This window comes from Homo sapiens, chromosome 2 (genome assembly GCF_000001405.40).
Source record: "Homo sapiens chromosome 2, GRCh38.p14 Primary Assembly".
NCBI lineage: Eukaryota > Metazoa > Chordata > Mammalia > Primates > Hominidae > Homo > Homo sapiens.
This window is the reverse complement of record NC_000002.12, coordinates 131,493,955-131,518,857: the sequence shown is the minus strand read 5'-3', so window position 1 is coordinate 131,518,857 and position 24,903 is coordinate 131,493,955. Positions and strand designations below refer to the sequence as shown.

Genomic DNA, 24,903 nt, shown 5'->3' with positions numbered 1-24,903 from the left:
AATTAGACTTTACTAAAATGGGGGAAGGAGATATGGCGTCAAATCTACACCCAGCCTCCCTCCTTCCTGCCAGATCACAGCACTTCCCGGGTTCTGCTCAGCCCCATGGCTCCAGGGGCCCTGAGGACAGGCACCGCCAATCCACTCACCAGGGTGCGGGCCTCGGGCCCAAACATTGGGGTGTACTTGCAGTCCTGGCCCTCCAGGCTGTAGACGTGGCTCTTCACCTTGAAGGAGGCATCAGTGACCGCTGGTGGCCAGGGTGACAGGAAGCTCCCAGTGAATGTGGGGGCCGTGAAGAGTCGGTGCTGGCGGTGGGGGATGACCAGCTCTGGCTCCAGGAATAGCTGCTCACCTAGAAGGCAGGAGACGAACTGGCACCCACTTCCCCGGGGCAGAGTACCCGACTGCTGCCCTTAGGATTCTGGGGTGTCTCTGAGGTGTCTGGGGAGCCCTGACCCAGGGGTGTCCTCCTGAGGCCCTGCCTGGCAACATCTCCCACACAGTAGGTGGCTGACATGGGGAGGGCGGATGGGGGAGCTGCTGGCTCACAGAGCCCCTAGCAGTGTCTGCAGGAGGTAAACAACAGGAGGATCGACAGAAACCAACGCCCAACCCAGCCAGGATGAATGCAAGGCAGAGACCAGGCTCACCTCCTGAAGCGGCCACCACGAGTTGCCAGGGTTAAACGGCGGGGTCACGGGGCCGCAGCTTGGACCGTGCCGGCCCGCTCTGTGAGCACACCTGCGATCCCCCACCCAGTGCCTGGTGGCTGCAGGGCAGGCAGGATCCAGCCAGTTTCAGACTTCACCGCACAGATGTGTCCCAGGAGTCTCCACAGCACCCTTTGCCGGGGCCCACTCTGGACGTGTGGGTCCCTCTTAAAGACCAGCCACCCCCAGCTAAGGGCCTGGCCCTGGTCTGGCTGGGTTGACGTCTACCCGGCTGGCCCAGGCTGAGGACTTACCTTTCTGAATCATCTCAGCCAGGTTGGGCTGGGCAAAGACTTTGGCCACTCAGAACACCAGGAGCGCATGCTTGGGGCTAACCAGGTCTGTGCGGAGTGCGCGGTTCAGGAAGCCCACAACCAACTTGGTGTACATCAGCAGGTTCTCCTGGACAAAGGGCGCCCTGGGGACCAAGGTGGCAGGTTGGCGCCAGCCTTCCAACTGGAGGCGGGGTCTGCGCCGGTCCATGCCCCTAATGCCCTTGCTCACCCTTGGGCTTTCAGACTCTCCCTAGCCAAGGTGACAAGCTGTCACAGATGACAGCTCAGGGGGCCACGGGCAGGCAGGGAGGGCAGGACAGAGGCAGGTAAGACCCAGGCCCTCTGAGGACGCCACATCCTTAGCAAGGCTGAGGCCCCTTTCCAAGTGGATGGAAGCCACCATGGCAGAGGCCAGCCCAGAGCCTGAGGGGGCTGAGGGAGGATCCCCCAGAGGGTCCAAAGGGGAATGCCTTGGGCAAGGAGGGGAGGGGTCAGTGGCCATGCCAGGTGCCACGGAAGCCTGGGGTCTGCTGTGAGGATCAAGCAGGGGATGGGGGAAGACGGCTTCCCTCATCCCCTGCTTGATCACTGCTGCTCTGCTCTGTGCTGATGAAGATCAAGGGATAGTTTCGGGGTGGCTGAACACTCGTCTGGGACAGAAGGGAGAGGGGACAGGGCAGGATGGGTCACCCACGGCTTCCATGAGAAACCAATTCTAGGGCCTGGCAAAGTTGAGCCTAGGAAAGGCTGGTCTGTGTTCCGCTCGGCAGGGGCTGGGAGAGGACTTCAGGAGGCCACGGGGGCCAGGGCCAGGCTGACCCCAGCACAGGCCGCTGGCTTGGCCTCCACCCACTGGAACAATATCCACCTGGGGGAGCCAGTGGCATGTCTGTGAGAGGGGCTGCGGCTCACCATTTCTCCGACACACACCGGGGCTGGGAGTCGCTGCCTGAAGCCTGCTTGTCAGGCGCGTACCGCCACGGCTGCAGGTAGCTCAGCCACATCTCCAGGACCTGTGGGGGAGGTATGTGCTGAGGGCTCAGTGGCTGGGGGCCAAATCCTCCGGTGGCCTGGAGCCCAGATACCAGGCGGCAGCTGGGTGGGACTGACTCTTCCCACTTCCCCCAGAGGGCGCAGGAGAGACATGCACAGCCCTGTGAGGTTTGGCTCTCTTGCTGGCCCTCCAGAAGCCAGGGTGGGCTTTTCCCAGCCCAGGGGTCAGAGTACTCCCTAGTCAGGTAAGGGTAGGAACCTGCCCTGCACCAGACAGGTGGGACAGGGCAAGGCTTTCCTGAGGGTTGGCTTTGGAAACTCAAACAGAAAGAACAATGTGGCCCTCCAAGACCCCCTCCTTGCCAAGGCCTCTGTGATAACACTTGCTCTCCTCCTTTATCTGCCCCAAAGGACCTCCCACCTCAAGGCACACAGAGGACACAGGCACACGTGTGACGGGGCCAACACTCACAGCTCTGAACGATGCGTCCAGGGGCCAGTGGCCAAAGCAATGCTCCAAGAAGAGGTAGAGTTTCTGCTGGATGAACCTCGGGACAGCGGCCCTGCAGGGGATGGGGAGGGTCACCTGCTGCTTGCCCAGTAAGGAGGCCCTGCTCACAGATGATCCCAGGGCTCCCATTAGTGAGGGTTGGCTCCACCGTGGGAGAGCACTGGGCACCTCCGGGAGGTTCAGCCCCATTCTTCAGAGGAAGAAACCAAGGTTCAGAGAGGCTAGGGAACATCCCAAGGACACACAGCACGCAGGCGGCCGAGTCAGTGCAGCTCCTGCACACACCTCACCCTCAGTCCCATACAAACAGCCCACTCCGCTGGCCCTGGCAGTCAGGGCCACCCCAGCTCTTCTGACAGGGTTGAAGAATATGAGATGCAAGAGATGGCAGCACAATGGGGCCTCTCTGGCCAGTCTGGAGAGAGAGGCTCTGGGAGCCAACTGGGCGGGGTGAGAGGACACCTGCCTAGGCCTGGAGAGGCCTCACGTGCTCTGTGAACAGAAAGGGACTCCCCTCACCCTGCCCTCCATGCCCTGGGGAGAGGTCGCTGTGGGTGACACCTTAGGAGGGGAAAGTGGGGGAGACGGCAGTGGTGGGAAGCCGCAAGGGCCACCCACCGTTTGAACTCCTCCAGGGGGCTGGTGGCGTGGGAGTGGGCGGAGGGTGAGGCCTGCTCTGGCTTCAGGCTGTTGGCAAAGGCGTGCAGGTGCTTCAGCAGCAGGCGCACCACCAACACATGCTCCTCAGTAGGCGTGAACGACTCCTGGGTGGAGAAGGAGGGGTGAGGGCCTGGGAAGGAGCGCGGCACCCATAGCACTCGGCCTCCAGGTCTGACCACATCCCGCACCGAGCCAGTTGCTCTGCTTCCCCACAGGAGGCACGAGCCAGGCCGGGAGTGGGGCCACCCCATGGGGCACCACTGTGCCTGGCACCCAGCAGACGTGCCTTGCACTGCTTGGTCTGAACTGTGACCAGCTTGTGGTATGGAAGTGCTTGGCCCAGCGCCCACACAGCCCACCCCGGGGGAGGCCTCACTAAGACAGACACATCTGCAGAGGGCCTCCCAGGCCTGCTTCTGCACTGCTGCAAATCCGCAGCGGGTGGCACAGGCTGTGCCCTTGGGCACTGGTGCCTGTCTTGATCCCCAGGGCAGGAGAAAGCCAGCATCACCCACAAGCTCTGGATCCAGGGTCTCCCACCTGCCTCCCAAGTGTGTGCAGAAAGCACATGGAACCCAGGTGTGGTGCCTCGGACCTGTAATTCCAGCACTTTGGGAGGCCAAGGCGGAAAGATCACTAAGAAGTTCGAGATTAGCCTAGACAACATAGGGACACCCTGTCTCTACAAAAAATTTTTAAAAGTTAGCTGGGTGTCGTGGTGCACACCTATAGTCCTAATGACTCAGGAGGCTAGGGTGGGAGGATCTCTTCAGCCCAGGAGTTTGAGGCTGCAGTGAGCTAGGATCGTGCCACTGCACTCCAGCCTTGGTGAGAGTTAAGACCTGGTTCAAAAATAAGAACCCCACGGCTTCACTTTCCTCCCCAATTCCTTCCACCTGCTCCTCATCCTGGACACAGCCAGATGAGAACTCGGCCCAGTAGAAGCCCCGGGTGTCACTTCCTCTGTTGCCCAGGGACCTGTGGTCAGGAAAACCCCAAGACAAAAGCACAGTCAGGCATATTAGGCCAAACTTTTTTTTTTTCTTGAGACAAGGTCTTCTTCTGTCGCCCAGGCTGGAGCACAGTGGCGCGATCTCAGCTCACTGCAACCTCCGCATCCAGGTTCAAGCAATTCTCCTGACTCAGCCTCCTGAGTAGCTGGGACGACAAGTGTGTGCCACCACGCCCAGCTAATTTTTATTTTTCATAGAGATGGGGTTTGACCACGTGGGCCTGACCTCAGGTCTCCCAAAGTGCTGGGAATACAGGTGTGAGCCACTGTGTCCAGCCTAGGCCAAACTTTTTGATTTGTAACATACAAGCAGGATCCTGGAGATCTAGCCGGAGAGGAAAGCCTTTTTGGTGGCCATGGGCTTCCTCTGGTTGCTTAGCACTGGGAGGGCAAGTGGGAGCATCGAGAGTAGACGAGGGCAGGGAAGTGGGGGTGCTGAGGGCAGGACCCTGAGTCTTGAGTGGACACGCTCGCCTCTCCACACTTGTCCCCTAGCCCTTTGGGCCTTAACACATCTGTGCTGCTGAGGCTGGTGCAGGGCCCAGCCTCTGGGTATATCCTGGGATGCTGTAGACCCCACACGGGCCACTGCCCATATTGCTACCCACTCAAGTCTCCCCGTCAGGAAACTGTCCCCACAGGTCCAAGTGACACACCCCAGAGATCAGTGGCTGAGTCTGAAGATGGAGCTATGGGGTGGAAGGCATTCTTTTTTTTGAGACAGGGTCTCACTCTGTCACCCACGCTGGAGTGTAGTGTCGTGGTCTGGGCTCACTGCAGCCTCTGCCTCCAGGGCTTAAGGGATCCTCCCACCTCAGCCTCCTGGGTAGCTGGGAAAACAGGCACACACACCACCACACCAGGCTAATTTTTGTATTTCTTTGTAGAGACAGGGGTCTCGCCATGTTGCCCAGGCTGGTCTCAAACTCCTGAGCTCAAGCAGTCCGCCTGCCTCAACCTCCCAAAGTGCTGGGATTACAAGCATGAGCCATCGTGGCTGGCTATTTTTCTCTCTGTATCGTTAAGTCTTTGGGCAATGAATTTGCATTGTTTTGGAAGAAAAGGCCAGGTGCAGTGGCTCACACCTGTAATCCCAACACTTTGGGAGGCCAAGGCAGGCGGATCACTTGAGGTCAGGAGTTTGAGACCAGCCTGGCCAACATGGTGAAACTACGTCTCTACTAAAAATACAAAAATTAGCCGGGTGGGTGGCACATGCCTGTAATCCCAGCTACTCAAGGGGCTGAGGCAGGAGAATCACTTCAATCTGGGAGGTGGAGATTGCAGTGAGCGGAGACCATGTCAATGCATTCCAGCCTAGGCAACGGAGTGAGACTCTGTCTCAAAAAAAAAAAAAAAAAAGACGGAAGGAGAAAAGTATGAGACATAATACCTGTATCTATATTGCCTAACTAGAAGGGCACCAGTGGGGTGGGAAGTTAGACCAGGATCTTTCTCCTCTTCCAGTCTCAGCCCAGGCCCTCCCTCCAATCCTGGCCTGGGATTCTGAGCCGTAACATCCTCCCTGCAGCTCAGGGGAGGGGAAGACCTCCACATGGGAACTGGAAAACTGCCTTTCCCTGCTGGTGCACTTGCCCCACACCACCTGGTCCTTCTGAAGGGTCTGGAGGGCCCACTGTCCACCCCTGCCCCCGGCAGTCACATGGAACCCTCTCAGGCTATTTTCCCATAGGTTTGCTGAGCCAAACTTCTCCCTCAGCTCTGCACCCCTCCTGGGCCATGTTCCCACATGGAGTCCCTGGTCACAGTCACCTGCTTGCTTCTTAAGGATGTGTCCCCAAAGCCGCACATTTCCCACTGGGCTGAGACTCACAGCACCTCAGCTCACCCCACCTGGGTCTCGCTGGTCACCTTCCCACCATGGGGTTTGCCAGATGCTTTCTGGACACTGTCCTCCCTCCCTGGCACAAGCCCTCAGGTTCCTCCTCTCCTCTGCAGTGGCTCCTGCGGAATGAGGTGCCCCCGTGTGCTGTGGCCGCCATCCAGCCCACCAGCGCTAAGGGGCCAACACATTTTCTCATCTTGTGCTCAAATTCCTGTTCAATCATGTGTGCTCCTTCCCAGGTGAACGGGACAGATCACTGGCTGTGAGCACAGCCCGTCTCCCCCGGCTCTCACAGATTCCTCTGTCATCCCTGAAGTTCCCTACAGGTCTGAACTCTGCTTCACTGACCTCAAATCCATCCACACACTTGTCATTTCTGCCTAGGCAGCTGCAACCTCTATGAGGTCACCACCCACTCTAATCTGCCTCTGGAGGTGTATATGAGTGGCCAGGGCTCCCCGGATGAAGGCCGGGTGCTGGCTGGGCTGTCAAGGACTGACAGCTTCTGTGGGCTATAGGGTCAAGCCCCAGGTCCTTCCCACCCCCCTGCCTCACACGCAGGCTCTGGGTCACAGCACCTCCAGGCTGGGTGACAGTTCTGAACAAGGCAGAACCCACACCACCCGTAAGTCCCAGGCCTCTGCGTCTTCAGCTCCTTCCTAAGCGCCAGACCCTGCAGAGTGCAGTGAACCCAGCCACTGCTGAGGCCTGAGGACTCCAGCTCTTCAAACCAGGGCCAAGCACGGGGCCTCCAACACTGGAGAGCTTGTGACACCTCCACTGGCCGGGAACCTGGACAGCCAGGGCCACATGCCCACATGCCTCGTTCTGCCACAAAGCCACCACCCCCACCCCCAACCAAACTAGTCTACAAAGCCAGGGGCCAAGCCAGGCTGGAGGCTGACCCCTGCCTCCCCCCGACACAGGGGCTACGCTCTGCTTGGAACTAGCCTCTGAGTCACCAGCAGCCGGCCCCGGCGGCCCCTTGCTTTGCCAGGCATGGACATGCACTCTGGGCAGGGGGAAGGGAACGAATGAGCCAGTACTTGGTAGGCGTGGAGGGCCTGGAGGCTGGGTTGGGCGGGGCTGTAGAGGGCGCTGGAGACACTGAGTCGGTAGTGCAGAACCTCCAGCTGAGAAAAGGAACAGAGAGATGTCAGAAGAGACAGAAGAGCAGAGGACAAGAGGGCCGGGTGGGGAAGGGGAGAGATAGGACCAGACACGGGAGGGGGAAGCGGAGAGAGAAAGAAAGCAATGAGAACGAGCCCAGGAGTGAGGAGAAAAAAACAAAAACAAAGCACGGTCAGTGAAAATCCAAACAATTGCAGTCCCAGCAGCCGCGGGCCAGCGCAGCACCCGCCTCCGCAGCCAGGCCAGGGCTGTGGCCATACTGTCCTCGCTTTGGAGGCCCGGGCAGAGGGGCCTCCAGGTCACCTGGGTGGCCCCTCAGTATTGCTGGGGCCTAAAGGCCTCTCTAGCTCCTTGGAAGGGCCCAACTCACTGCCCTTCAAGATGGGACCCACTCTCCCCAGTGACTCTGAAGTCACACTATGTGTGGCACATGCAACCCAGAGCCCTCCAAGAGCCCAGGGCCCTCACTGGGACACGCTGCCAGCCACCAAGACCTCAAGATCCTGAGGCTCAGAAAAGAAACCAGCGGAGCATGTTCCAGGAGGAAGACTCTGCCCAGAAAAGACACATGTGGAATTGACTGGATTTCCCTGGGTTGTCTTAAGAAATTTACCAAATTGGTATAAGACATGATTGATTCCTATGTGTCTAAAACTCAAATCAATGTCCCCTCCATGACTGGCTCTCTGAGAACTGAGGGCGAGGACAGGTCCCCAAGGGTAGCACAGAGACGAGGAGCACAGGCTCAGGCCACCAGGCCCTGCCCTCCACCCTCATAGTCTGGACGTCAGCTAAGGTGGTGTGCACATCAGCTCTGACTGCTGGAGGCAGCCTCTCCTACCGCACCAGAAACTCCCACCCTCCACATACAGTGGGTTCCCAAGGGCGGGAGCCCCTGAGGATCTGGCCACAGCCACACACACCCAGAGGCAGCAGGAACCTGAGGCTGAGCTGGCTCCTAGCCAGGACCCTCCGAGCTGCTGCCCTGCAGCACCACGGCCTGCCGAAGCACCCCTTCAGCCCAGTGCAGCCACAGCCGGCCTGGTGCACATCCTGCCCCGCCAGCAGCATGCCTCCTGCCCAAGCAGCACACCCACTGGGCTCCACACAGGAGAAATCAGAACACACGCCAGTCGCCATGACACGCAGAGCAGGGAGGGAAGGAGCAGGGCAGGAAGGTGTTGCCCTCCACAGCCTTCCTCTGTGCCAGACCTGGGGCTCAGGGAGGAATCAGACACATAGTTCCCCAGTGTGGCTCTGCCCTTGCTTGCAGGAACACAGTGGCCTACAGCGCCATGGCCATCCTTACTGCCCACAGGGCCACTGGGGAGCAAGCACGCATCCTGGACTCAAGCAGGGTGAGGAGGATGACCCCAGGAGCCTCACTTCCTGCATCTGAAAATAAGGTCTAGTGGGGACGGGCAGGGATTTCTGTATGGCAGTACGTGTAGCACAGGCCTGGGCAAGCGACAAGAAGCCTTGGGAGACACAGACTTCCACAGCTGCCTTTCTCTGACTCCCACCCACCAAGTTTTCTTGCGTTTTGTGTTTTGCCTGAACTGGAAGAGGCGAAGAGTGGAGCGTCTCTGGGTACTTGGTCCGGCTACTGCAAGGTATTCTGGGCAGGGCCCACCTACCCCAACGTCTGGCCAAGAGGAAGCAAATGTGGGGAAGAAGGGAACTGCACCTCCTGCCCTCCACAGGGACAGCCCCCTGCCCTTCCTCTGGCCCGTGAGGACACAGAATCCTCACAGGTGACAGCCCAAAAGAGCCTTTCTGGCTGACTCTTGAAAGTAGGTGTGCTTACTACACTCCCTCAGAAGGCAGAAGGAGCAACAGGAACACAATGCGGTGCAGTGGCCCCTGCCCCTGCCAGGCCACGCCACGCCACATGCACGAGTGCTGAGTGAGTGTCCCAGAGCCCTGCGGGAGGAGCGGGCCCGGGGAATAACCAGGCCCCCAGGCACCAGCCAGGGACATGCAGCAAGTCTGCTCTGGAAGCAGGAAGGGCACTGCAGGCTCTTCGTGACTCAAGAGGCCCAAGATGGGGTCCTCAGCTTTTCCCCACTCTCCACCCATGTGATTCTGAGGGTGAGGATTTGGGGGACCCTATGCTCTGAGAGAGCCTCCACATGGCAAAGCATGGGGCCATGGAACTGGCTGCAGACTGTGGCAGAAGCAGACCCACAGCTCTTTGCCAGAACCAGAGGAAAAGTGACAGGATGCTCTTCTGAAGTTTAACTCCATCACCCACATTCTGGAGGAAGCCCTCAATAATTCTGTCAGTGACAAAGCCAAAGTTTCCCAAGCATACTGATGCACAGACGCCATGGGCACCAGACTACGTGGCTGATGCCACTTCAGGCAAGGGCATGGATGGGCATGAGTCAAGCTGCTCCATGGAGATGACTGACTGGAGATCTAAGGTTCACCTAGCTGCTTTCTCACTCTGACCGGTCCAGGGGTGGTGCTAGCTCCAGGAACGGCAACAGCAGTAACAACCCAGGGCCTCCGCCACCTCCATGCATCTGAAGGCAGCAGGCTGCCCAGAGAGAGAGTGGGGAGAGGCGAGGCGGAGGGAGAGGAGGCAAGCCAGGCTGCATGCAGGGGGGCACCAGGTGCCACTCGCCACGAGAAGGGCTGCTTGCTCATGCTCTGGAGGAGGTGGGGGAGTAGGGGGAGCAGGCAAAGAAGGCTCCAGGCCACCCCTTCGTGGGAAAGCACAAAGACTGCTGATGGTCAAGGAGACAGACGAGAAAGTGGCTCCCAGAGGCATTGCAGCTCCCCCCACCCCCAGAGCAAGAGCACCACAACCTCATCTGTTCCCGCTGCCAGGGAGGGGGCTCAGGAAGCTGCACAGGGAGGGCCCCGGAAAGGCCAGACTTCCAGGCCTCAAGTGTCTACACGTCAGTGTGCAATGCCCCCTGCCCGCCACCGGAAACTAGAGAATGATGCCCACTTCTTACTCGGCTTCTGAGTGACAGGTGGGTGGTGGGTTTCTGCTTCCCACCATCCAGCCTGTGAAAACTCACTCCGAGGCAGGATAAGAAGCAGCAGGCTGAGCAGGGTCAGAAGCAGGAGGTGGGAAGAAAAACTGTGGAAACATACCTTGGCATGAGGGGACTGCATTTTTTGATACATCTCCAACGAATAGTGATGAAGCCACATTTCAACAAAAACCTGCAAAAAAGCATTAGCTAGTCAAACCATTCTTGACAATGGTGCCAGACCATCCAGTGGGGAAAGGACAGTGTCTCCAACAAGCAGAGCTGGGAACTCATTCCATGTGCAGAACAGCGAAGCTGGGCCCTTCCTTCACACCATCGCCAAAAAATAACTCAAAATGGGTAAGCAACCTGAGGATAAGCACTAAAACCATACACTCTCAGAAGAAAACATGGGAGAAAACTTCATAACACTAGATTTGACAATGATTAATTAGATATGACGCCCAAAGCACAGGCAACAAAAAGGAAAAAAAATAGACAACTAGACTTCATTAAAATCAACACTCTTGAGCATGAAAAAATACTATTGATAGAGTAAAAAGGCAACCAACAGGCATGGTGGCTCAACCCTGTCATCCCAGCACTTTGGGAGGCCAAGGTGGGTGGATTACCTGAGGCTGGGAGTTCAAGACCAGCCTGGCCAACATAGTGAAAATCTGTCTCTACAAAAAATACAAAAATTAGCTGGGTGTGGTGAGGCATCACACCTATAATCCCAGCTACTTGGGAGTCTGAGGTGGAAGGATTGCTTGTGCCCAGGAGTTTGAGGCTGCAGTGAGCCAAGACTGTACCACTGCACTCTAGCCTGGCAACAAAGTTAGACTCTGATTTAAAAAAAAAAAAAAAAAAAGGGCTGGGCACAGTGGCTCACGCCTGTAATCCCAACACTTTGGGAGGCCAAGGCAGGTGGATCACCTGAGGTCAGGAGTTGGAGACATGGTGAAACCCCATCTCTACTAAAAATGCAAAAATTAGCTGAGCATGGCAGTGGGCACCTGTAATCCTAGCTACTTGGGAGGCTGAGGCGGGAGAATCACTTGAACCTGAGAGGTGAAGGTTGCACGGAGCCAAGATTAAGCCACTGCACTCCAGCCTGGACAACAGAGGGAGACTCCATCTCAAAAAAAAAAAAAAATGCTTTGGTCCAGGGAACAGCAGAACCTTCCAGTTCTGCCCTATAAGCCCTGTGTCACGATCTTCTGCCCTCTTCATGGCCAGCACAGCCCACGGTCTACACAGCCAAGAGCCATCTGGGCATCATGGTCCCCTCTGTGAACAGGGGCAACGGTTCTTACCATTCCACCCTGCGAGGATGCTGTGAAACGGTATGGAGGCTTCAAAAAGTGTAGCACCCCAAATACTAGGAGTTATATACAAGATGGGAGATAGAATCCTATCTTATCTACATGTCAGGCTGTCAAAAGCAAGGCTGTGGCTACCAAGTCAGCCCCAGGATCCAGCGTCAGAAGCGGCACCTGCTGAATCTCTCTGATGTGTGCCTAGAAGACACAGCCAGGACCTGGGAGCTGACCAGCACTCAGGAAGTGAGCCAGCCCATACCATCCTGACAGGCTGGAGCCCCTCTGGGCAGACAAGGAAATCTGTCACCTACTACTTGGATCCCCTGAATCAATGGAAGGCCTGTGGAGGCTGCACAGACCCCTCACCATTCAGTGTCATGGAAACCAAAAGCCTCTGCAACAATTTTGCCTCACCACAGGCAAAACGAAACAACTTCCATGGACAGGGGATCCTGGGATGAAAAACGCCATCAATGACATACAAGTTAGAAGGGTGGGCAGATTTACTTTCATGTTTTCTAAATGTCACAGCAGGAAAATACCAACAATTTAGAATCAGCCCCGGGCTGAGGGGCCGCCTCTGGGACTCTGCCCCACATAGTGGAAGGTGGCTAAACAGTTTCTTTTTTCTTTTCTTTTCTTTTTTGAGATGGAGTCCAGTTCTGTCACCCACGCTGGAGTGCAATGGCACTATCTCAGCTTACTGCTGTCTCCACCTCCTGTGTTCAAGTGATTCTCCTGCCTCAGCCTCCTGAGTAGCTGAAATTACAGGCGCCTGCCACCGTGCCCGGCTCATTTTTGTATTTTTAGTAGACACATGGTTTCACCATGTTGGCCAGGTTGGTCCCAAACTCCTGACCTCAGATGATCTGCCCACCTCGGCCTCACAAAGTGCTGGGGATTATAGGCATGAGCCACCATGCCCAGCTGGCTGAACAGTTTCTTTTGACCAGCTCAACTCTCACCTGGAGCAGTGTCTGACCTCCAGATCTCGTGGGAGGCGGGGTCTGCATTCACAGACGTCTGATGAGAGATGTGTCGCTTCAGGAGGCTAGTGTGGTGGAGGCCATAGGAAGCAAAGGGCATGGTTGGTGTCCTGAGGGAGACACAGAAACAGGCCCGAGTTTACAGGCTCCCGCTGGCCTAGCCAGGGGCAATCTGGATATCAAAATCAACGAGAGCAGGGAGAGATTACAACTTGTTCAATAGCACAATGCATACCTCCCCCCCAGCCCCCTGATCCACACTGATATACCTGAATAAATAAATAGCAAAGAGAGAAGTCTTCCTTACCGCAGAGTGACCACTGACCCACTAATCAATGAAGGAGGGATAAGTTAGAGAACCACCACTTGGTAACCGCCCTATTAATAGCTGATTTGGTCAAGAATCAATAGTGAGGTTGGGCATGGGGGCTCACACCTGTAATCCCAGCACCTTGGGAGACCAAGGCAGGAGGATTACTTGAGGCCAGGCATTTGAGATCAGCCTGGGCAACAAAGTGAGAACCCATCTCCACAAAAACATTGAAACATAAAACAGCTGGGCCTGGTGGCATGTGCCTGTAGTACTAGCTACTTAGAAGGCTGAGGAGGGAGAATGGCCTGGGCCCACGAGTTGAGGCTATAGTGACAAATGATCGTACCAACTTCACTCCATCCTGGGGTGACAGAGCAAGACCCTGTTTCTAAATAATTAAGAAATTTCCAGCCTGGGCAATAGGGCAAAACCCTGTCTCCACAAAAAAAAAATATAAAAATTAGCCAGGTGTGGTGATGCCTGCCTGTAGTCCCAGATACTTGGGGGGTTGAGACGGGAAGATCTCTTGGGCCCAGGAGGTTGAGGTTGCTGTGAGCAGAGATCGTACCACTGCACTCCAGTCTGGGGTAAGAGAACAAGACCCTGTCTGCAAATAAAATTAATTTGAATAAAGGGGAGAATCAAAAGTGGATGTTAATACTACTGATAATTACATGGTCTCCATACATCTTCCTGGTAAATTCTCATTATCAATTTTTTTTTTTTGAGACAGGATCGTATCCTGTTGCCTAGGCTGGAGTGCAATGATGCAATCACAGCTCACTGCAACCTCAACCTCCTAGACTTAGGCCTCCCAAGTAGCTGGGACCAACACCACCATGCCTGGCTGATGTTTTTCTTTTTAGTAGAAACAAGGTCATGCTATGTTGCCCAGGCACTCACTATTAATTTTTTTTTTTTTTTTTGGTTGAGATACGGTCTCTCTCTGTAGCCTAGGCTGGAGTACAGGGGCATGATCTCGGCTCACTGCCACCTCCGCCTCCTGGGTGCAAGCAATCCTCCCACCTCAGCCTCTCAAGTAGCTGGGATTACAGGCACACACCACCACACCTGGTTATTTTTAAATTTTTGGTAGAGATGGGATTTTGCTATGTTGCCTGAGCTGGTCTCACACTCCTGAGCTCCAGTGATCCGCCCACCTCAGCCTCTCAAAGTCCTGGGATTACAGGCATGAACCACCACGCCCAGCCTCATTACTATTTAATCTGGGCACAAAGTAATTATTTTACAATGGAAAAACCTGACCGGCACCTTTTTAACCCGGTGATAAAAGGGCACCTGGCAAGGACCAGGTGTCCCACTACGGTGCTCCTCCCAACAAAGCCCATGCTGGGCCTAGTCACCAGCAAATACCAGACAGCCTAAGGGGCGGCCACATGCTCTGGAGGGGTCAAGGTCAGGAAAGACAGAAAGGCAAGGGACCGTTCCTGACTGAAGGGGACTAGAAATATCACTATATACAGTGGGTGAGCCTGTGAAACATCACTGCACACAGTGTGAGGCCTGGTGGCAATACTAACTTCCTGGTGTGGTTACAGGCACTGTGACTATATAGGATAATGCATTCGCTTCTAGGAAATACACTGAAATATTAAGAGGTCAAGGGGTGTCATATCCTGTAGCTTACTCCTATTGGCTTAGAGAAAAAAAACACATACAATAGAGGTGGAAAACAACAGATGCAGCAAAGTGTTAACAATTTGGAAATCTGGGTGAAGGGTCTATGAAAGTTTCTTTTTTTTTTTTTTCCCTGAGACAGGATCTTGTTCTGTTACCCCAGGCTAGAGTGCAGTGGCACACTCACAGCTCACAGCTCATTGCTCCTGGGCACAAGTGATCCTCCCACCTCAGTCTCCTGAGTAGCTGGGACCATAGTTGCACATCATCACACCTGGCTTTTTTTTTTTTTTTTTTTTTTTTTGTAGAAATGAGGTCTCCCAACGTTGCCCACGCTGGTCTCGAATTCCTGGCCCCAAGCAATCCTCCCGCCTTGGCCTCCCAAAGTGCTGGGATTACAGGCGTGAGCCACCGTGTTCGGCCTACAAGTTATTTTTATTATGTGTGGAAACTTATCTGTAAGTCTGAAGTTATTTCAAAATAAAAAGTTAGGTGTGGTGGCTTGCACCTGTAATTCCAGCTACTTGGGAAGCTGAGGCAGGAAGATTGCTGAGGCCAGGAGTTCAAGACCAGCCTGGGCAACACAGCGAGGCATCCCCATATCTCTGCAAAAAAAAAAAAAAAAAAAAAAGTTAAATTAGCTGGCTGTGGTGATGCACTGAGGTGACAGGCTGGCTTGAGTGATGATTGTGCCACCAAGTGATGATTATGACACTGCACTCCAGCCTGTGTGACAGAGTAAGACTGTCTTTAAAAATACATAATGGCTAGGCCAGGAGCGGTGGCTCACACCTGTAATCCCAGCACTTTAGGGGGTCGAGGCGGGCAGATCACTTGTGGTCAGGAGTTCAAGACCAGCCTGCCCAACATGGTGAAACCCTGTCTCTATTAAAGATACAAAAATTAGCTGGGTGTGGTGACAGGCACCTGTAGTCCCAGCTACTTGGGAGGCTGAGCCAGGAGAATCACTTGAAGCAGAGACAGCGCCACTGCACTCCAGCCTGGGCAACAGAGTAAGACCCTGTCAAAAAAAAAAACAAAAGCCCACAATGGACCAGTACGGTGGTTCATGCCTGTAATCTCTGAACTTTGGGAGGCTAAGGCAGGAGGATTGCTGGAGCCCAGGAGTTCCAGAGCAGCCTGGGCAACACAGCAAGACCCATCTTACAAAAAAATAAAATAAAAGCTAGGTGTAGGGGTGCATGCTTATAGTACTAGCTACTTGGCAGGTTGAAGTGGGAGGATCACTTGAGCTCAGGAGGTTAACGTTGCTGTGAGTTGTGATCACAACACTGCACTCCAGGCTGAGCAACCCAGCCAGGCCCTGTCTCAAAAAAAAAAAAAAAAAAAAAAAAAATGCTGGGCGCAGTAGCTCACACCTGTAATCCCAACACTTTCGCTGAGGCCGAGGTGGATGGATTGCCTGAGGTCAGGAGTTTGAGGCCAGCCTGGCCAACATGGTGAAACCCCGTTTCTACTAAAAATACAAAAATTAGCCGGGCACACTGACCTGTGCCTCTAATCCCAGCTACTTGCGAGGCTGAGGTGGGAGAATCGCTTGAACCCAGGAGGCGGAGGTTGTGGTGAGCCAAGATCGTGCCACTGCACCACTCCAGCATGGGCGAAAGAGCGAGACTCCATCTCCAAAAAATAAATAAATAAAATAAAATAAAATAAATAAATAAACCCAAACCATACGTATGTGATCTCTTCTGTGTGCGTGTGTGTTGTGTGTGTGTGTGTGCGCGTGCGCGTGCAATGGTGTGATCTCAGCTCACCATGACCTCTGCCTCCTGGGTTCAAGCGATTCTCCCGCCTCAGCCTCCCGAGTAGCTGGGATTACAGGTGTGCACCACCATGCCCAGCTAACTTTTGTATTTTTAGTAGAGATGAGGTTTCACCATGTTGGCCAGGCTGGTCTCGAATTCCTGACCTCAGGCGATCCCTCCACCTCGGCCTCCCAAAGTGCTGGAATTACAGGCGTCAGCCACCACTCCCAGCCCACATATACGATTTCTAAAAGAAAAAATTAAAATAAAAAACGCAAAAAGTTAAAACAAACAAAAAAAACCAGGCATCAAAAACTGCTTGGCGGCTGAATTCTGCATCTAAGAGGGTGTGAATCTGCCTCACCTCCAAGTCCTCCACAGGATCAGCAACATTTCAGGGTCACTGATCACTGCCGCCACCTGGGCAGCATCTCCTCCCTGCCTCTCCCTTTCTCCCCTCCACCCTCTGGGGAATCTGTCCACACGTGAATTGTACGTAAAGGCCTGGCCTGCCTTACACATGACAGCAGATCTGGGGTGGGCCAGCACTTGCAGGAAGGGGCCTGCATGCAGCTTCCTGGGGAAGGCAATAGGCCAGTGAGATTAAGGAGGGTCAGAGGTGCACAGGCAGCTGATGCTGGGGCAAGAGGGTCTCCTGGGAAGTCGGCCAAGAGGCCCTGCGTTAGTGCCCACTGAGGACCCAGGACAGCCAGGCATGAGAGCCCCTGGTTCACACTCCCGACCTGTGCAGGCACGCATCAGGCTCAGCCTGTTTGGACTGGCAAAACAGGCTCTTTGGCCCAGGGCCTCCCCTTCAAGACCTGCTCCAGGGGCCCATAGAGATTTCCATTTTTTTTGCTCATAGGACAACCTTTCCACCCTGCTCACTGCCTCAGACACTGCCTGTGGGGAGGGCTGCTCCATGCACAACACAGCCCATTCCCATGCAGGCCGTGGAGGCCTCCAGGGACCTGATAGCTTCAGTGATGGCCAAAGACACTGAACACTAAGGACAGATTGCCCGCCACACCCCACCCTCCAGTCTGTGCTAAGACAGCTGGGGGTGGGGAATGAGGCATAAGAAAAATTGGGGAACCGTGGACAAAGGGTGGCAACATTGTCCCCGTGGGCGATGCAAGTGACCAGGCCACTCCCTTATGGAAGGGCCAGGTCTTAACAAAGGGCAGCCTTACCTGGGAGGCGGTGAGGGGCTGGTCCCCCCTGGGCTGGAGGAGAGTGGCAGGGCACACTGCCTTCGGTGGGCAGGAACCATGACAGGTACCTGTCCACCAGGATGAAATAGGCACAGTCTGAAGTACGGACGTGGAGGGACACAGGGAGTGGCTGGAAAACCAAGCTAGTTGTTAGCGTGGGCTCTGGACACTGCCAGGCCACCAAGCACCAACAAGTGCAGGGAAGCCCTGGGCCGTGGCCCCACCTCTCCCAGCAAAAGGCATCCCTTCCTTACCTTCTGAGTGATGAGGCTCAAGGCAAAGAAGAATATGTAATACTCGAATGGATCTGAGAGCAGCGTCAGGGGCAAACACGCAGGGTTGATGAGCCACACCCCCCGCAAGTGTCAAGTGCTGGGCCACCCACAGCCTCCCTACCTCAGGGCCACCAAAGGATACTCAGGGCCAGGTTCAGACCAAGGCCCCCAGTAGGGGTGAACTGGACCTTGTTGTGGTACAGAGGACTGTCAGGGAGGATGCACTCCTGGATGGACGCCTTCACAGGACCCTGCAGAGAGAGGCAGTGAGGCTTGCGGGCAGGTGCTGGTGCGTAGTGCCCGATACGCAGTACCCCACATGCACAGCAGCACTTTGGGAAGGCTGCTGGGGAAGAGACCCACACACAGAACCCACCTGTGGGGACAGTGCCCTGCCTCTGAGCAGTGCCTGAACAAGAGTCTTTGCTTAGAACTTCTCCTACCATCTCATAAAAAGCTGCAGACAGCAAGGGTAGCAGTCATGCAATACCCATTTCCTTTGCCTCTCACACCCCTGGAACGAATCGCTCCTCAATTTGCCCTCAGAGGACTGGAGGAGATTGCCCATCACCACAGGGCTGTGCAAGGCCCACTGCCCCGAGCACCACTCTCGCCACTGTGGTTTACTTACAGGCAGGTAGGAGACAGGAAAGTCGAACTTATAGTCTTCAGCTTGAAGCTTATAAACCAACTTCATCATTGGGCCACTGAACATGAAATTGAACAAACAAACAAAAACAGGGCAAATGAACTGTGAATTATCTTGCTTTGATTGTTTCTTAATCTTAAGAAATTCAGAGAGTGGTTTAAAGGTGGAATCACCATGAGGAATCACCCAGCCTCTCTCCGGTGACCAACCTACCTACCCAGTGTCGAGAAATTCCATCACGATGCTGTACTCCACAGGATTCACACGCCCCTGTAAGCAGCGGAGGTTCCAGCCAACGAGGACACCGTCTAGGCTGCCGAAAATGCTCTCTACCAGCCATGGGAAGATGGTGTGCAGCTCCTGAAACAATGTGTGGTGAGGCCGCGGGCAGGACCAGCACCCATTCCTGCCCCGGCTCTAGTCCTGCACCACCTGCTGCCCAGCTCCTTCTGAGGAGGCCACTCCCTGGCTGAGACCTACGAGATCAGCCCTGCACCCAAAGGAACCCTGGTGCCATGGTGCCAACGACAAGAGCAGCTTTGGGTTCTTCCAATGGGGTACATGGCATACCAAGCAGTGTTGCTTTAGGCTTGGGCCAGCTAAGTAAGTCAGCCTCCAATCAAAATACATTTTTTGTGTGTGATAGAAGACTAAATTAAGAAAAATAAACAAACATAAACAATGAAGAAAATTAAAATATATAAAATAAAAAAATACACAAAATACATATTTTTTGAGACAGGGTCTCACTCTGTTGCCCTGGCTGGAGTGCAGTGGCGCAATTATGGCTCACTGCAGCCTTGACTTCCTGGGCTCGAGCAATCCTCCCACCTCAGCTTCCTGAGTAGCTGGGACTATAGGCACACACCACTACACTCAGCTAATTTTTAAATTTCTTGTAGAGATAAGTTCTCAGTATGTTGCCTAGACTGGTTTTGAGCTCCTGGGCTTAAGTGATCCTCCCACCTCGGCCTCCCAAAGTGTTGAGATTACAGGCATGAGCCACCACAAAAAAAGATTCTTTAAAAAGAGATGGAAACTTCTGACTTGAAGGATGCTCTATCAGAAAGGAAAGCAACATCCTTTCCAGAGTGAAGCCCCTGAAACCTAACTGACCTATTGCCATTTGGTATTAACTCCTTGTCTAGGCCAGCTTCCTGGGCTTGACAATTCCAGGTGTGATTTAAATACATATTTTTAGTATTTACGTTAGGGTTTCTGAACCTTGGTGCTATTGACATTTTGGGCTAGATACTTCTTTGTTGCAGGGAGCTGTCCTGTGCTTTGCAGAATGTTTCCAGCAACCCTGGCCTCTACTTCCTAGATGCCAGTAGCACACACTCCCCATCTACCTCCAGATGTGACAACCAAAAATGTCTCTGACATTGCCAAGTGTCCCTTGAGGGACAGAGCACCTGTGGCTAAGAACCCCTGATCTACAAGTTCACATGTTTAAATGTGTCCATAAACATAATGGTCATGATAATGGCCAGGCCTCTGTGCCAGGCAGTGCTCGGGGTTGGGGCGGGGAGGGAAATTAGGAATTATAATAAAGTTCTTCAACGAATGTATAAGACATGCTCCAAAGAGAGACATTAGCAGAGCTATACCTTTGCTGGAAAATCCTCAATTACTTTAATCAAGTCTTGGCACTGCTGTGCAAAGGGCTTATTTATAGAGTCAGCTTTCAGGCTGGCCTAGAAAACAGAACAAAGCGAAAAAGTCACGAGGACATTCACTCTGCAGCTTTTAGTGATACTCTGGCTTGAGTCAAACTCTGGCTTGAGTCAAACAGAAATCCAAGCAATAGGTTATGAGTCAGACCCATAACCACTGGCCTGGTTCCCCAGCCCCTCATGTGTGTCAGTGGCCCAAAGAGTACTACTAGGAGAGGCCGTAGTTCTATGCTCTCTGGACCAGGAACTATCAGCCTTGTTTCCCAGTACCCCCTCAGAGTGCTGCACATGATCAGAACAGGATTGACTTCTACCAATCCATAAGTAGGGGCTGATCCCAGAGTCAGCCCCAGAGCCAGAAGAGGATCTTGATTGTGTAAGGGCACCCCTCACAAGCCACAGAGTACCACTGAGTTTGTACGCATCAACTGGAAATTTCCAGCCTGATGGACCACCGTGATTACACCGTTGTGATCATCAGTAAGAACGCCCAACAACATCACGGCTATGGCAGAAGCTCTCTTAAATGAGCTGTCCTTTATTCAATAGACACTGAACCTACTAAACCAATGATCTTAAAACACAGGGCAGACAAAAATTACAGACCGCTTCAGCCAAGTAGACACTAATCATGAAGGCAATGGAGAGGCCAGAAAAGACTCAGGACAAGGACTAATGAAATCTACCTAGTCGTAGGATGTGAGGAAAGCACCCTGACTACAAGGAGAAAAAGGGCGTCTGTGCGAATGGATTAAGATCAGGAGAAACAGCTAGAATTTCAACCTAGAGAGCTTTGCCAAAGGATATCTAAGGCCTTGTCTACCTCCAAACGAGGGTGGATTTCACAGTGATTGAGACAGAGATGGAGACCTGAGCTGTCTGGCCATGGGCCAGACCTGTTGACTCTAGTGGGGTGCACTGAGGAAGAATGTCCTTCCACATAAATGTTTACAAAAACACCTCCTAAGAACTAAAATTAGGAACTTTCATCACCAATACTTGCCTCATATCTAACTTCTCACTTCTCAGTATCATTTTTTTTTCCTTTTTGAGTCTTTACTATGTTGCCCAGGCTGGTCTCAAACTCTTGGGCTCAAGTAATCCTCCTGCCTCAGTCTCCTCAGTAGCTGGAACTCCAGGCATGAGCCACTGCACCCAGTTCTCAGCATCATGTTTAATACTTAAAGTGCAACCTAGCAGCCCCCCGCACAACAGTGTCTCCATTTTTCACTGATGACAGTTATGACTGATTATTAGAATGCTTCATATCTATTTAAGAATTTACAAGTTATGAACATTCTGATATACATCCTTCTCACTTGCTCCTCCTCCTCATACCCTTGGGAAGTAGAGAAAATAGAATTTGAATGAACTTGTCTTGCATGAGAAAACCCAGAGCCCAGAGGTTGAGTAACCCCAAGGTCCTGTAGTAATAACGAGGCACAGTCAAGTTAAGGAGTCTGCCATTGTTTCCATCACATGCCCCTAAAAAACAACCACTACAGAGTTCTTCAAGTCAATGGGAAGAACACTCAAGTCCCACAGCTACAGAACTATGACCACAATGACACTCATGCAAGCAGTTGATATTTACCAGTAGAAAGCTGGGCTGCTGCAGGTGAGGGAACGCCATAGCAGCCTCCAATGGAGAGTTGAAAATGGCCTTCTTAGCAAACCACTGTGGAAAAACAAAGACAAAATCTCAACATCTGCAACACAGCAGAATCTTTTTATATTTTTCTTTAGAGACAGGGTCTCGTTCTGTTGCCCAGGCTGGCATGCGGCAGCACGATCATAGCTCACTGCAACCTCAAACTCCTGGGTTCAAGCAATCCTCCCACCTCAGTCTCCTGAGTACAGGCACATGCCACTATGCCTGGCTAATTTTCCTTTTTTTTTAGAGACAAGGTCTTGCTATGTTGCCCAGGCTAGTTTGTCAGGCTGTGATGCCCAGGATCCTGGCCTCCACTGATCTTCCTGCCTTGGCCTCCTAAGTGTTGGGGTTACAGGTGTGAGCCACTGCACCTGGCCCTAACAAAATATTACATAGTTTCACAATGCCCAGGAGAATATCACACATTACATTACCAATTTGCAACACACATTATATTGCCAATTCTCATGTCTTACTTATTGATTAGAGACAGGCTCTTGCTTGCTCACTCAGGCTGCAGTACAGTGGTGCGATCATAGCTCATTGCAACCTCAAACTCCTGAGCTCAAGTGATCCTCCTGCATCAGCCTCCCAACTAGCGGGAACTACAGGCAAACATCAACAAGCCCAGCTAATTTTTGTACTTTTTGTAAAGATGGGGGTTTCATCATGTTGCTCAGACTGCTCTTGAACTCCCAGACTCAAGCGATCTATCCGCCTCAGCCTCCCAAAATGTGGGATTACAGGCGTGAGCCACCACGCCCGGCCAGCAATTCCCATCTTTTATACAAATGCTGTTCTCAACTGGGCACGGTGGCTTCCGCCTGTAATCCCAGTAGTTTGGGAGGCTGAGGCAGGAGGATCACCTGAGGTCAGGAGTTCAAGACCAGCCTGGCCAACATGGTAAAACCCCGTCTCTACCAAAATACAAAAATTAGCCGGACATGATGGTGGGTGCCTATAATCCCAGCTACTCAGGAGGCTGAGACCCGAGAATCACTTGAACCCAGGAGAAGGTGGTTGCAGTGAGCTGAGATCACGCCACTACACTCCAGCCTAGAAGGCTGAGCAAGACTCTGTCTCAAAAAAAAAAAAGAAACACTGTTCTCCTGCAGCCCATAGTGGCCAGCTTCAGAGCCAAGTTTGTGGTACTGAATCCCTGGTAATGCTTGTACAGCATTTGTTATATACCAGGACTCACTCTAAATGCTCTCTATATATCTCCTCATTTAATCCTCAGTGGTAGGCAGAATTCTAAAGATAGCAGCCCGAGATTCCCGACCCCTGTTTGTTCAATCAAATACTCATCTAGGTACTGCTGTGATGGCATTTTGCACATCCAATTAGAGTCCTAAGTTAGGGGACCTTAAGTTACAGAGTAGTCCCCAGCTGACAGCCAGCAAGGAAACAAAGACCTTAGTTCTACAACTCCAAGGAACTGGATTCTGCCAGCAACCTAAATAAACCTGGAAGCAGCTTCTTCCCTGGAGTTTTCAGATAAGAGCAAAGCTGCCAACACCTTGGTTTTAATCTTGTAATGCACAGCTGAGCTTGCCTGGACTTCTGCACACATAACTATGAGATAATAAATGGGTGCTGGTTTAAACTGCTAAGTTTGTCATACAAGAATAGAAAAACCAACCTCACAACAACCCGATGGGTACAGATGTACTATGACTGCAAGTCAGTACAGATGATGAAGGAGAGGCAGAAATGGGATAACTCACTTACCCCCACCCAGCTAGTAAGTGGCAGAACCAAGATTCCAATACAAAGACCGCCTCACAAAACTGAGACAGGGGCAAATCCCCTCCATATTACCCGTGCACTATGCAATGAACGGAGGGGAAGAGCAAGCTCTGCCAAGGGAGCCTTTGAATAAGCCATCAGAAAACTAGGATCAAAGGCCGGGCGCCATGGCTCACACCTGTAATCCCAGCACTTTGGGAGGCCACGGTGGGCAGATCACTTGAGGCCAGGAGTTCGAGACCAGTGTAGCCAACAAGGCAAAACCCCATCTCTACTAAAAATACAAAAATTAGCTGGGTGTGGTGGCGGGCACCTGTAGTCCCAGCGACTCGGGAGGCTGAGGCATGAGAAATGCTTGAGCCCAGGAGGTGGAGGTTGCAGTGAGCAAAGATCACACCATTGCACTCCAGCCGGGGTGACAGAGGGAAACTCTGTCTCAAAAAATGGAAGAAAAAAAGGAAAGAAAACTAAGATCAGCTTTCCAGATTCCTACCTCTCAGCTCACCCAGGTCAAAAATAAAAAATGCTCAGACCTAGACTTCACAGACAGGAAGTCTGCCAAGTCCCACTGGTGGCCTAGTTACAGTTTTCCTGGCCCAGCTCTGCCCACTGCACAAGTAACGGCACTGGGGTGGCACCTGGCAGTCTGTGGAGGAAGAGAGGCTGGGTGTAAAGAGGCCATGTAGGCAGTTGTAGAGTGAGAGGAGACAGGAATCTCTGCCTCTCTGCCACTTGGCAATAGGAACATCTCCCAAGTTTTTTCAATTTTTTTTTTTTTTTTTTTTGAGACGGAGTCTCACTCTGTCGCCCAGGCTGGAGTCCAGTGGTGCTATCTTGGCTCACTGCAAGCTCCGCTTGGGTTCACGCCATTCTCCTGCCTCAGCCTCCCGAGTAGCTGGGACTACAGGCGCCGGCCACCACGCCCGGCTAATTGTCTTTTGTATTTACTTAGTAGAGTGGGTTTCACATGTTAGCCAGGATGGTCTAGATATCCTGACTTCGTGATAAGCCCGCCTCAGCCTCCCAAAGTGCTGGGATTACAGGCGTGAGCCACCGCGCCCGGCCAGCTTTCTCTTTTCCTTTTTTTTTTTTGAGACGGAGTCTCGCTCTGCGCTCTGTCGCACAGGCTGGAGTGCAGTGGCGCCATCTCAGCTCACTGCAACCTCCGCCTCCCGGGTGCAAGCAATTCTCTGCCTCAGCCTCCCAAGTGGCTGGGATTACACGCGCCCGCTACCACGCCCGGCTAATTTTTGTATTTTCTACTAGAGACGAGGTTTCACCATCTTGGCCAAGCTGGTCTTGAACTCGTGACCTCGTGATCCACCCGCCTGGGCCTCCCAAAGTGCTGGGATTACAGGCGTGAGCCACCGCGCCCGGCCTCAATTCTTAACCTAGCTATCAATTGCAGTGTTAAAGAAAAACGCCTCAGTCCTAATGCACTTGGTCAAGAAAACACTGCACTACTGCAAAATGATCAAAGCAGCATTAAACTGTGGACTGCTGGATAAGTGCGGAGCTCTAGAGATGATG

General features: G+C 53.1%; 1 pseudogene across 1 annotated transcript in view; it reads right to left on the bottom strand.

Moving 5' to 3' along the window:
• The window catches only part of SMPD4BP (sphingomyelin phosphodiesterase 4B, pseudogene), a 28,764-nt pseudogene that overhangs the window by 2,719 nt on the left and 1,142 nt on the right, over positions 1 to 24,903 (bottom strand). Inside the window, exons 2-15 of the transcript NR_026922.1 lie at positions 21,565 to 21,648; positions 19,905 to 19,991; positions 18,512 to 18,654; positions 18,277 to 18,352; positions 17,788 to 17,896; positions 17,625 to 17,677; positions 17,350 to 17,500; positions 12,416 to 12,546; positions 10,250 to 10,321; positions 3,111 to 3,256; positions 2,454 to 2,544; positions 1,901 to 2,001; positions 968 to 1,131; positions 150 to 355 (exon numbers count right to left, since the gene is read on the bottom strand). The product of NR_026922.1 is annotated as a sphingomyelin phosphodiesterase 4B, pseudogene (transcript). The remainder of the gene's footprint in view (positions 1 to 149; positions 356 to 967; positions 1,132 to 1,900; positions 2,002 to 2,453; positions 2,545 to 3,110; positions 3,257 to 10,249; positions 10,322 to 12,415; positions 12,547 to 17,349; positions 17,501 to 17,624; positions 17,678 to 17,787; positions 17,897 to 18,276; positions 18,353 to 18,511; positions 18,655 to 19,904; positions 19,992 to 21,564; positions 21,649 to 24,903) is intronic.